At 41.1% G+C, this 13,859-nt stretch overlaps 1 protein-coding gene across 6 annotated transcripts in view; it reads right to left on the bottom strand.

The window, feature by feature from the left end:
* The window catches only part of CRACD (capping protein inhibiting regulator of actin dynamics), a 281,512-nt gene that overhangs the window by 144,345 nt on the left and 123,308 nt on the right, over positions 1–13,859 (bottom strand). For 5 of the 6 annotated variants that reach the window (XM_047415994.1, NM_001393381.1, NM_001393384.1 and 2 more), the window contains exon 2: positions 6,835–6,981. The exons of the other annotated variant lie outside the window; for it this stretch is intronic. The gene's annotated coding sequence lies outside the window, so the exon portion shown is untranslated. The remainder of the gene's footprint in view (positions 1–6,834; positions 6,982–13,859) is intronic. 6 annotated transcript variants of the gene reach the window in all.

The raw sequence follows: 13,859 nt of genomic DNA, 5'->3' as shown, positions 1-13,859 counted from the left end.
CTAGCACTACACCAACCTAATTCTTAAGTTCTGTATTATTAGACCAAGAGCTCTTCTACCATCACAAAAGGATTTAGCTAGAATTTTGCTTCCCTCAGAACCTCATTTGCCATCCAGTTTCCCATTTCTCTGCCAGCTTCATCTGTGCAACTCATCTTGGGTTACGTCTGGCAGATGGAGAGAGGAATCTCATTTCAAGTCGCTGCTGTCTGCATCCCAGAGCCCTCCCGGAGCAGCCTCTATTTCACCAAGGACAGAAGAAAGGAGGGATGGGTGTGATCAGCCTCCCCAAGAGATGACAGTGTAAAGTATTCCTCAAATTTTCATCTTCAACGGCTAGTATCATTTAACTCCCTTGGGAGAGACTGCTTTGTTGCCTAGGCTAGCAATATAATCTCCAGCTATCCCAATGCCAAAATATCAATTACAGGTTCATCTGGATGATGGGATAAACTGAAGTTCAGACCACTAGAACAATGACATAAGTCAGGGGTGGGGAGACAGGGTGCCCAAGGGGATTGAGCCCCATGGTAGAAGTGAAATAAGGTGAAGTCAAATTCTCCATATCCTTGCAGATTAAGTAACTAAATTCTAAACTGCTATCTGTCTCATGAAGAGAAGTCCACCAGCAACTAAAGCGAAGCAGGTGTTCTGAAGGGGTTTTCTTTTTGGAGGTCCTAATTAGAAAGATAATATTCCCATAGCACCCCAGCTCTCCCAGCAAAATGACAGGAGAAGATTGAAAAAATAAATGATTGGTAATAACAATTAAGCATTTTACCAGTCACAAAACATCACAGATTGTACAATTTGATTTATATAAAGTATCTAGAAACGGTAAATTCATAGAGACAGAAAGATTGGTGGCTGCCAGTGGCTGAGGGGAGGGGGAAATGGGGAGTAACTGCTTAATGGGTACAGTGTTTTATTTTGGGGTGATGAAAATGTTTTGGAAAGAGACAGAGGTGACGGGTGCAAAACAGTCTGAATATACTAAATGCCACTGAAGGCCGGGTGCGCTGGCTCACGCCTGTAATCCCAGCACTTTGGGAGGCCGAGGTGGGCAGATCACGAGGTCAGGAGATCGAGACCATCCTGGCTAACACAGTGAAACCCTGTCTCTACTAAAAATATAAAAAAATTAGCCGGGCGTGGTGGTGGGCGCCTGTGGTCGCAGCTACTCGGGAGGCTGAGGCAGGAGAATGGCGTGAACCCAGGAGGCGGAGCTTCCAGTGAGCTGAGATCGCGCCACTGCACTCCAGCCTGGGCGACTGAGCAAGACTCCGTCTCAAAAAATAAAAATAAAATAAATAAACTAAATGCCACTGAATTGTTCACTTTAAAATGTTTAATTTCATGCTATGTGAATTTCACCTGATTATTTTTAAAAGTGTTACAATTAAAGGACTAATTATTTCTCATTGCTCAACAATCTACCACTACTGGGGAAAAAGGAGGATCTTGTTTCCATTCCATAGTGATAAGAGGGATTAAATAAGTCTTTAAATTCTAGTATCAGTCATCTTTGGGGCTTTCCTGTGAAAAGCCGAGTACTTACCTGAATGTTGGTAGCAGAGAAGTAATTCAAACCAATGACCCCAGATTTGCCTGGCCCATGTAGTCTAACTTCACAATCAACAGCTGCAGGAGTAGCAAGAGCAGCAACTATTTATCTGCAGCTACGAAGTGCCAGCTAGATAACCAAAAGGCAATCGAGGAGACCTGTGTTAACTAGACTCTAGAACCCTAGCCAGACCTGTGTGATGGAGGTATGTCCCAGGGAGTCGCATTTGGTGGCAGTAACATCAGACAAAGACTAAGTGTCGTTTTAATTCACTAGAATATGATGACCTTGCTATTTCCACACACTTCCAGGACAAAGAAAATAAATGTTGGCCAGGCGTGGTGGCTCACGCCTATAAACCCAGCACTTTGGGAGGCTGAGGTGGGTGGATCACCTGAGGCCAGGAATTTGAGACCAATCTGGCCAACATGGTGAAACCCCATCTCTACTAAAAGTACAAAAATTAACTGGGCATGGTGGCACATGCCTGTAGTCCCAGCTACTCGGGAGGCTGAGGCATGAGAATCACTTGAACCTGGGAGGCGGGGGTTGCCGTGAGCTGAGATCGCGCCACTGCACTCCAGCCTGGGCGACAGATCAAGACTCTGTCTTGGGGGAAAAAAAAGAAAGAAATGTTAACAGAGAGCAGGAGGATCTTTAGATGAGAGGCAGCTTTTTTTCCCCTTCTTTATACTAAGATGAAGATCCAAAGCAATTTGCTGTTAAGCGCAAAGAGAAGCACAAAAGCTTAGAGGGAATAAAAACACATTTAGAACAGAGGTTAAAAAAAGGACCTTGAAAGGAAACTACAAGGCTATGTAAACAAAAACATGGTTGAATGCAAACTGAGGAAAAGCAGATGCGGGCTGCCCAGGCTCACATGACACCTTCCCCTTTCACTTCCACATGGCACAGTCAGAGCCAAAGACAAACAGGCCCCTGAAGCCCTCACCAACCAACCTCCGAACCACGCACCTTGCCTCATGCTCTAGTTCGTGAATCTTCCTGGTTTGAGGTCAGGTATGGTCTTCCTACTATGGCTTTGTCTCACCTCCCAGACTTAACACAACACTTAGCTTTGAGCACTTGCTTTCCTTGACCAGGATTTAGACATTTCTCTAGCATGACCGCCAGTGGTCGCTTCTTCTACCTTCAGCCTAACTCAGGATGTCCCTCTACACCACGTGCCTGTGCAGGCATGGAAAAGTGCTCAGCTCTGTTTTGGTGTAGCCTTCCTTTTCTCGCGTGCAGTCCTCAAGACCATGCCTAAAATAAGGTTCTAGAGTTGACTGCAGTGATGCAGCTGCAGGCCAAGGAACACAAATGGCTAGACGGCTGCACGTTTAGAGGGAATCTTTAAACATAATGAAAAGCCAAAATATATTCAAGGCTTTCAAAATCCCCTAATTCTTTTTATTTTATTTTATTTTATTTTATTTTATTTTATTTTATTTTATTTTATTTTTTGAGACGGAGTTTCACTCTTGTAGCCCAGGCTGGAGTGCAACGGCGCAATCTTGGCTCACCGCAACCTCCGCTTCCCAGGTTCAAGCAATTCTCCTGCCTCAGCCTCCGGAGTAGCTGGGATTACAGGCATGCGCCACCATGCCCGGCTAATTTTTGTATTTTTAGTAGAGACGGGGTTTCTCCATGTTCATCAGGCTGGTCTCAAACTCCCAACCTCAGGTGATCCACCCTCCTTGGCCTCCCAAAGTACTGAGATTACAGGCATGAGCCACCGCACCCAGCCAAAATCCCCTAATTCTATTGCAAGAAACCAACGGAATCAGGGAGCCATACACACACACACACACACACACACACACACACACACACATATCTTTTTTTTCTACGTTGTATGAGAAAAAATCATTTAATTCCATCACAAAATGTTCTACATATGTTTTTAAAATTACAGTATTACTTCCCTGGAAAACTTCCTAAAAGAGGAAAAAAGCATCTATTTCCTAAGTCTGTCATGCTAGAAGGAGGAATGGCTTCTGATAGGAAAGCTGAGGTAGAACATCAGTTGTGAGCTCTCTTGGAGTTAAGCAATTTGGACAGGGACTGCAACGTCGTATGTGTGCAACTCCTACCCTGTGTCAGGGCAGTGTCTTGTCAGCTCCAGCCTGATATCACGGCCCTAGTAGCACATAAGCAGCATGGTGAAATCACACTGACGATCCTCCCACCTCAGCCTCCCGAGTGGCTGGGACTGCAGATAGCTAGGACATGCCTGGCCTAGACCTGGCTGGTTTTTTTTTTTTGTTTCTTTGTTGTTGTGTGTTTTGGAGTTGTTGTTCTGCTTTTTTTGTTTGCTCGTTTTTGAGACAAACTGGGTCTCACTCTGTCACCCAGGCTGGGGTGCAGTGGTAAAATCTCAGCTCACTGCAGCTTCAACCTCCCCTGCTCCAGTGATCCTCCCACCTCAGCCTTTTGGGTAGCTGGGATCACAGGCACACAGCTAATTTTCTGTGATTTTTATAGAGACAGGATTTTGCCACGTTGCCCAGGCTGGTTTCGAACTCTTCGGCTCAAGTGATTCGCCTGCCTCAGCCTCCCAAAGTGCTGGGATTACAGGTGTGAGCCATCGTGTCAAGCCCACCTGGCTGTTTTGATTACTGACTCTGATCTTGGGCAAGTTATTTGAGTTTTCTGAGCCTGTTTCTCTACTTGTAAGATGGGAATAGTAATATCTATTACTTATTATTTAAGGTAGCTGTGATGGTTTGAATTGTATCCCCCAAAAAGTAAGCTGAAGTCCTGACCCTGCAGTACCACTGAATTTGACCTTATTTGGAAGTAGGGCTGTTGCAGATGTAATTAGTTTAAGATGAGGTCACATTGAAGTAGGGTGGGTCCTTAGTCCAATATATCTGGTGTCCTTATAAGAAGAGGGAAGACAGCCATGTGCAGACACAGACACACAGTGAGAATGACAGGTGATGACAGAGGCGGAGACTGGAGGGATGCAGCTGCAGCCCAGGAACGCCGAGGATTGCCAACAACCACCAGAAGCCAGGAAGAGCCAAGGAAGGTTTCCCTTTGATGTGTCTCACAGGGAGCATGGCCCTAACTTGATTTTGGACTTCTAGCCTACAGACCTGTGAAACAATACACTTCTGTTGTTTTAAGCTCTGTTTGCCTAATTTCTTATGGCAGTCCTAGCAAATTAATATGGTGCTAGAGGCCTAATGTATGTATTTTGTGTGTGTGCTGGGTGGAGGGAGTACGTGTTCTTTAACTGCAGAAGAAAATAAGGCAACCTATCTTATGCATCTAAACCAAGAAGTGTCATCATTTCCTGTGGATCAACCCTCCCACTCACTCTGCTCCAGCACTGACTGGCTCCTGGCTGTGGCTGGAACACCCCAGCTGCATTCCCTCCTTAGGGCCTTTACACCCACTGCTTCCTCTACCTGGAACAGGCCCAGGGCCAACTCCTGACTTCCTGCCTTTCCTCGATGAGGCCCCTTCTGCAATTTGCACTCCCACCCCACTAACCAACTTCTCTTGCTCTACTTTACTTTTTCTTTTCTCCATGTTCTCAGTGGATTCTAATATCCTAGTAACGTGTTTATTATATGCATTATTTATCATCTCCATCCATGCTACAACATTAAGCTCCATGCACTGATGTGAACAAACATCAAAAATAGTACCTAGTTCACTGTAGGTGCTTAAGAAAAAATTTTCTAAAAATCCATCATTCATTTTCAAATGACCACTTTAATTATTACAGAAGCCGTATGTGCTCACTGTAAAAAATTAGAAAAAAATTAAAAGCTTCAAACTCCCACCATCTAATAAAACCTCTCAAATTACAAGAAATCAGACTGACTTTTATCTTCTTTAAGTGACTCCCTAAGGGGTGCTGACAATCCAGGAGAACTCTCACGGTAGAGGTAACATGCATCTTACAAAGCTTGGTATGTGAATTTAATGAAATAAAGTAACCAAATAGTCAATACAATGCTTATCATAGCAACTAAGACAACTAATGAGTAGTTTTTATTAACAGGTAGTTATCGTAATAGGTCACTGTTGATAGGTAGTTGTTATTTTATTTCCTTTGATCTCATATTTAACTTCCATCTCTTCCCACAACTTACAAAAAGTAAGTGGCGGATATCTGCAGCCAAAATAATGATATGATGCTATCTATCTATTTATTTATTTATTTATTTATTTATTTATTTATTTATTTATTTTGAGATGGAGTCTTGCACTGTCACCCAGGCTGGAGTGCAGCAGTGAGATCTCGGCTCACTGCAACCTCTCCCTCCCGGGTTCAGGCGATTCTCCTGCCTCAGCCTCCCAAGTAGCTGGGATTACAGGCGCCCGCCATCACGCCCAGCTGTTTTTGTGTTTTTAGTAGAGATGGGGTTTCACCGTGTTGGCCAGGCTGGTCTTGAACTCCTGACCTTGTGATTCGCCCACCTCGGCCTCCCAAAGTGCTGGGATTACAGACGTGAGCCAACGTGCCCGGCTGATATGATGTTATTTTTACAGGGGAGGCAGATGAGGAATGCCTCCCACTCCCAGCATTCAGAAGACAAAGTTCCCCAAACTCACAGGACCAAGCTCTATGGCTCAAAAGCACCATGAGACACAAGGCCACTGTTTCCATTGAATTTTCTAATAGCAAGAAAACAATGAACAATGATAACCATTTTTTTTTTTTGAGACAGAGTCTCGCTCTATTGCCCGGGCTGGAGTGCAGTGGCACAATCTTGGCTCACTGCAACTTCTGCCTCCTGAGTTCAAGCGATTCTCCTGCCTCAGCCTCCTGAGTAGCTGGGACTACAGGTGCCCACCACCACACCTGACTGACTTTTGTATTTTTAGTAGAGATGGGTTTCAGCATGTCAGCCAGCCTGGTCTCGAACTCCTGACCTCAAGTGATCCGCCCGCCTCAGCTTCCTAAAGTGCTGGGATTACAGGTGCAAGCCACTGCACCCGGGTGATAACCACATTTTTGTATTACATGTCCTCTCCCATTTACAAAACCTTTTCCCATGAAACTTTCTTTTATAGATGAAATAACTGGGGTTCAGAGAATTTAAGTCACTTGTCCAAGTTGACTCAGCTGGTAAGTAGAAGAGTTGGGAATGCAATCTAGGATTAGATCACTGATGACAAGGATCACTTGTCCTGATATTCAGTGAAATACATACTAGTCCTAGAATCCCACTTACAACAAATGAAACATTCCTTAGCATTTTTTCCATAAGCTACTTCCCTCTCCATACTCTACATAAAAGACTTACCTATCTTAATAGCCACAGGTCTTTTTCTTGTTGGATAATTCTCCACCAAAATTTTCTCCTTGCAAAAGGGAAACTTCACCTTCAGCTGTAAATGTCAGGAAATGGGGTACATTGCTGAGAAAGCCTGGGAATCACTGCTCTTGTAAGCTGTTGAGAAAAAAAAAAAACATTAAGAACTTTATGTCTTCAATCCTCTCTTGGGGAGCCTTTAAAATGAATCTCTTTTCCAATCCTTGGCAGAAGTCAGCACAAAAGAGGTTTCTTCCCCCTCCATGAGTCTTCCAATTAGGTTTACCAACATTCGATTTGCACTGTTTAGCCAAAATTTACTATAGAGCTTTAAAAGCATTTATTATTAACTTTCCCCCTTTTGAGAGGACTAAAAGAATCACATCCCTGAATACTGAGACTTCCATATGCTTACACATAGGATTGCACACATATTCTTCATGTAGTTTAACTAAAATTCAAGAAGCTAGAAGACACAAATCCAATTTAGCAGACGTGAAGGCAGTAATCATTAGGTTATTTCCTAGTGAAGGCACCTTTTTACTCTAATACAAATCACAGAATTAACTAGGTTAATGAGCTTCCTGTGGGAAGAGAGTGCACAATCCCTTCTAAAGCTGCCTGAATGAAAACCAGGATGTAATGAATGTAGATTTTAGCTGGAATGGAGGTAGAAAATGTCCAAGAAACAACCTCAGATTAACACAGGCCCTTTGCAAAGCTCTGTGAAACAAGACAACATTCTGGGGCAACAATACAAGATGAAGTCACTCCAAATCTCAGGATGGACAAGGGTGTCAAGCCCTGATGGGGGTTGGCTTGTATGGGCTTAGAGAAGAATTCTCAGTTCTGGCTATGAGGGACTAGCTTCTAGCAGACCAATTTCTCATTGAATACAACTAGAACAGCTGGACAAAAGTTATTTTTAAAATCTGTTTAAAGGCTTCGGAGGACTACCAAGACAGCCAGGGCATGAAAGGCCACGATCTTAAGGGAGAAGGGAAATAAAATTGAGGCAAGTCAGACATTTTGTACCACTTTTCCTTTTGAGACACCCACTGGTTTTTTAGGAGGCACAGGGCAAAACTACTGAGAAACCTAGCAGAAAGTGGCTATTTAGAGGAACATAAAGTGAACGGACCTTTTGTCCAACTTACAGGCTGAGGCGATCCCAGAGAGAAGGGAAATGCAAAGAAATGAGCTCAACATTCTGCCTCGGTTTAACTTTGTAAGGAACTGTGAAACATTTTTCAGAAGCGGTTGTATCATTTTGCACTCCCATCAGTAATATATGAGAGTTCTAGTTTACACAATCTCATCAACATTTGGCATTGGCACCTTACAGAACTAGAAAAGCAAGAAAAAACCAAACCCAAAATTAGTAGATGGAGAGAAATAATAAAGATTAGAGCATAAACAAATAACATTGAGACAATAAACCACCAAAGATTAACAAAATAAAAAGTTGGCTTTTTTAAAAGATAAAAAAATTTGACAAATCTTTACCTAAGCTAAGAAACAAGGAGAGAAGACTCAAATAAATAAAATCAGAGACAGAAAAGAAGGCATTACAACAGGTACCATGGAAATAAAAAGGCTCATTAGAGACTATTATGAACAATTGTACAACAATAAATTAGAAAACCTAGATGAAATGGTTACTCTCCTACATCCATGCAACCTACCAAGATTGAACAAATAGAGAATCTGAACAGACAAATAAAAAGTAATAAGATTGAAGTAGCAATAAAAAGTCTCTCATTAGGGAAAGCCCAGAACCTGATGGCTTCACTGCTGAATTCTACCAAGCATTTAAAGAAAAACTAATACCAATTCTACTCAAACTGTTGCAACAAATTGGAAAGAAGGGAATACTTCCACACTTATTTTACAAGGGCATCATTACCCTCATACCAAAACCAAAGACATAAAAAAGATGCAAAAATCCTCAACAAAATACCATCAAACCACAGTCAACATCCCATTGAAATGATCATTTACCATGATCAGGTGGGATTCACCCCAGGAATGCAAAAATGGTTCAACATACACAAATCAACACATCACATTAACAGAATAAAAGACAAAAACTATATGATGATTTCAATAGATGCCTCCTAAAAAGCATTCAATGAAATTCAACATTGCTTTATGATAAAAATCCTCAAGAAACTGGGTATAAAAGGAACATACCTCAAGACAATAAAGTCCGTGTATGACAAAACCAAACCAAAAGACAGCATCACACTGAACAGGGGAAATTGAAAGCCTTTCTTCTAAGCTCTAGAACAAGACAGGGATGCCCAGTTTCACCACTTTTATTCAACATAGTACTGGAAGTCCTAGATAGAGCAATTAGACAAGAAAAGGAAATAAAGGGCGTCCAAATTGCAAAGAAAGAAGTCAAATTGTACTTGTTTGCAGATGACATTATCTTACATTTAGAAAAATCTAAAGGCTCTAAAAAAAACTGTTAGAACTGATAAATTCAGTAAGGTTGCAGAATACAAAATTAACATACAAAAATCAGTAGTATTTCTATATGCCAACAGTTAACAATCTGGAAAAGAAATCTAGAAAGTAATCTCATTTACAAAACCTACAAAAAGAATACCTAGGAATAAATTTAACCAAAGAATTAAAAGATCTCTACAATGAAAACTATAAAACACCAATGAAAGAAATTGCTCCAGGCTTGGTGGCTCATGCCTGTAATACCAGCACTTTGGGAGGCCAAGGCAGGTGGATCACAAGGTCAGGAGATCGAGACCATCCTGGCTAACACAGTGAAACCCCATCTCTACCAAAAATACAAAAACAAAAAAATTAGCCGGGCGTGGTAGTGGGTGCCTGTAGTCCCAGCTACTCGGGAGGCTGAGGCGGGAGAATGGTGTGAACCTGGGAGGTGGAGCTTGCAGTCAGCAGAGATTGCACCACTGCACTCCAGTCTGGACGACAGAGCAAGTCTCCATCTCAAAAAAAAAAAAAAAGAAATTGGAAGGATATTCCATGCTCATAGTTTGAAAGAATTAATATTGTTAAATGCCCATACTACTTAACGTGATCTATAGATTCAATGGAATCCCTATCAAAATGCCAATGACATTCTTCAGAGAAATAGAAAATGCAATGCTAAAATTCGCATGGAACCACAAAAGACCCTGAATAGCTAAAGAAAACTAAGCAAAAGGAACAAAGCTGGAGTCATCACACTACCTTATTTCAAAATATACTACAAAGCTATAATATCTAAAACAGCATGGTACTGGTTTAAAAATGGACACATAGACCAATGGAACAGAATAGACAACCCAGAAATGAATTCACACTTTTATAACCAAAATAATTTTCAACAAAGGCACCAAGAACACACACTGGGGAGAAAACAGTCTCTTCAATAAATGATGCTGGGAACACTGGATATCCATATACAGACTAAAACCAGACCTCTATATCTCACCATATACAAACATTAAATAAAAATGAATTAAAGATTAAATGTAAGACCTGAATCTATGAAACTACTACAAGAAAACACTGGGGAAATGCTTCAGGACATTGGCCTGGACAAAGTTATTGAGTAAGACCTCAAAGGCACAGGCAACCAAAGCAAAAATTAACAATTGGGATTACATTGAGCTAAAAAGCTTCTGCATAGCGAGGAAAACAACAAACGAAGAGAAAACCAACAGAATGTGAGAAAACATTTGCAAACTATCCATCTGACGAGGGATTAATAACCAGAATATATAAAGAACTCTAACAACTCAACAGCTAAAAACAAATAATTTGATTTAAAAATGGCAAAAGAGGATACCCTGTGTGTGTACCCTGATGTGATTATTATGTATTGCATGCCTGAAGCAAAATATCTCATGTAATTCATAACTACATACCCACAAAAATTTAAAAAATTTTAAAAAATTAAAAAACAGAACTTCTGCTAAAAAAACTGAATTAAAATGGCAAAAGACATCCAAGTGGCAAGTAGGTATATTAATCATTAGGGAAATGCAAATCAAAAACCACAATAAGATATTATCTCACACCAGTTAAAATTGCTATTAACAAAAAGATAGGAAGTAACATATGCTGGCAAGGATGCAGAGAAAGGAGAATGTTTGTACACTGTTGGTGGGAATGTAAATTAGTACAACCACTATGGACAACAGTATGGAGGTTCCTCAAAAAACTAAGAAGAGAACTACCATATGATCCAGCAATCTCACTGCTGCATATGTTAATATATCCAAAAGAACATCAGTGTATCAAACAGATATCTGTATGTTATGGTTTGGCTCTGTGTCCCCACCCAAATCTCATGTTAAATTGTAATCCCCACCTGTCAGGGGAGGGGCCTGGTGAGAGGTGACTGGATCATGGGGATGGATTTCCCCCATGCTGTTCTCGTGATAGTGAGTGAATTCTCACAAGATCTGATAGTTTAAAAGTGTGGCACTTTCCCGCCTCACTCTTTCTCTCTTGCCACCATGTAACACATGCCTTGCTTCCCCTTCACCTTCTGTCATGATTGTAAATTTTTTGAGGCCTCCCAATCATGCTTCCTGTTAAGCCTGTGAAACTGTGAGTCTATTAAACCTCTTTTCTTCATAAATTACCTAGTCTCAGGTAGTTCTTTATATCAGTGTGAAAACAGACTAATACACTGTACTCCCATGTTTATTGAAGCACTATTCACACAATAGCCAAGATACAGCATTAACCTAAGTGTCCATCAACAGATGAATGCATAAAGAATATGTGTTATATATACACACAATGGAATATTATTTAGCCATAAAAAATGAAATCCTGTCATTTGCAGCAACATGGATGGAACTAGACATTAGGTTAAGTGAAATATGCCAGAAACAGAGAGGCAAATATCACATTCTCACTTACATGTGGGATTTAAAAAATTGATCTCATGTTCCTACAGAGTAGAATGATAGTTACCAGAGGCTAAGAAGGGAAGCAGGGAGAGGGGGATGACGAGGAGTTGATTAATGGGTACAAAAATACAGTTAGATAGAATAAGTGTTCAGTAGCATAATAGGGCAACTTAGTTAACAATATTTATTGTATATATCAAAATAGCTGGAGGACAGGATTTGAAATGCTCCCAACACAAAGAACTGATAAAGGTCTGAGGTGATGGATGTGCCAGTTACCCTGATTTGATCATTACACATTATATGCTTGTATCAAAATATCCCATGTACCCCATAAATATGTACAACTATTATGTATCCATTAAAAATTTAAAAATCAAAAAAAGAAGCATGTATTTAAAAAAATGGTGTTGCCAGATTTTAGTTTGAACCATTCTAGTGTGACTCCTACAACTCAGTAACAAACAACCCAATTTATTTAATGGACAAAGGATTTGCATAAATATTTCTCCAAAGAAGATACATCAATTCCAAATTAGTGCATGACAAGTTGCTCAACCATTAGGGAAATACAAATCAAAAGTACGATGAGATACCACCTCACACCTACTAGGATGGCCATTATCAAAGATACAGAAAATAACAAGTGTTGGTGAGGATGCAGAAAAATTGAAGCCCTTCTTGTACCCTGTTGGTAGGAATGTAAAACGTACAGTGGACACAAAAAAACAGTATGGTGTCTCTAAAAACATTTAAAATAAAATGACCACATTATCTAGCAATTCCACTTCTGGGCATATATGCAAAAGAAGTGAAAGCAAATAAATTTTTACCAATTATTACAAATAAATTTTAACAAGTGGGCAAATTGACAAATATGGAATCCATAAATAATGAGCTTTGACTGTATGTCTATGTATGGTTTCAAGTCTGAAATCTGGTTTTCCTTTCTTCAGTTTCTTCTCATTTAGACAAAATAGGCCTGATGAAGCTCTAAACATATTTAATATAGCGAGGTGTCATCTAAAATGAAGTAGCTTCATGGAAACCCATTTGCTGATGAGAAAGCAATTTACAACTTGTTCTGTTGAACACTCATATTTGGAGTTCAACACCCATCTCTATTAATTTCCTTTCTCATATCCTCAGGGATAACTTTACAGAACACCTGAAATGTTAACAATTTGTAATTCAAGAATGAATGTATCTGGGCACTTTTTCAAATACAGGAACAAAATCAGCAAGAATGAGGCAATGCATGTTTTGAAGGAGAAGGAAGAGCAATGCGATCCTCAGTGAACTCAGAGCATGTATAGTCAAAGGTAAACTTCTTTGACTTTTTCCATTTGCTACAGTTGTGTACAGGATGTTTCACAGCTCCTGCGATCTGTGGGGTCACCCTAAAAAACAAGTGCTAAGAGAAAGTTGCCTGCATTTCAAATTTTCAGTCTAACAGTCAGAAAGGCTGGGTGTTGGCCGGGTGCGGTGGCTCACGCCTGTAATCCCAACACTTTGGGAGGCCGAGGCGGGCGGATCACCTGAGGTTGAGAGTTCGAGACCAGCCTGACCAACATGGAGAAACCTCGTCTCTACTAAAAATACAAAATTAGGCCAGGCACAGTGGCTCATGCCCGTAATCCAGCACTTTGGGAGGCTGAGGTGGGCAGATCATGAGGTCAGGAGATCGAGACCATCCTGGCCAACATGGTGAAAACCCGTCTCTACTAAAAATACAAAAATTAGCTGGGCATGGTGGCACGCAACTGTAGTCCCAGCTGCTCAGGAGGCTGAGGCAAGAGAATCGCTTGAACCCAGGAGGTGGACGTTGCAGTGAGCCGAGATCACGCCACTGCACTCCAGCCTGGTGACAGAGCAAGATGCTGTCTCAAAAAAAAAAAAATTAGCTGGGCGTGGTGGCACATGCCTGTAATCCCAGCTACTCAGGAGGCTGAGGCAGGAGAGTTGCTTGAACCCGGGAGGCAGGGGTTGCGGTGAGCCGAGATCATGCCATTGCACAGCAGCCTGGGCAACAAGAGCGAAACTCTGTCTCAAAAAAAGAAAGGTTGGGTGTTAGAACCACATCTCCAAGATTCGTTCACTTCTGCAAGTCATGATGCCTGTGAC

This window comes from Homo sapiens, chromosome 4 (genome assembly GCF_000001405.40).
Source record: "Homo sapiens chromosome 4, GRCh38.p14 Primary Assembly".
NCBI lineage: Eukaryota > Metazoa > Chordata > Mammalia > Primates > Hominidae > Homo > Homo sapiens.
The sequence above is the reverse complement of the archived record's forward strand: the minus strand, read 5'-3'. Positions and strand labels throughout refer to the sequence as shown.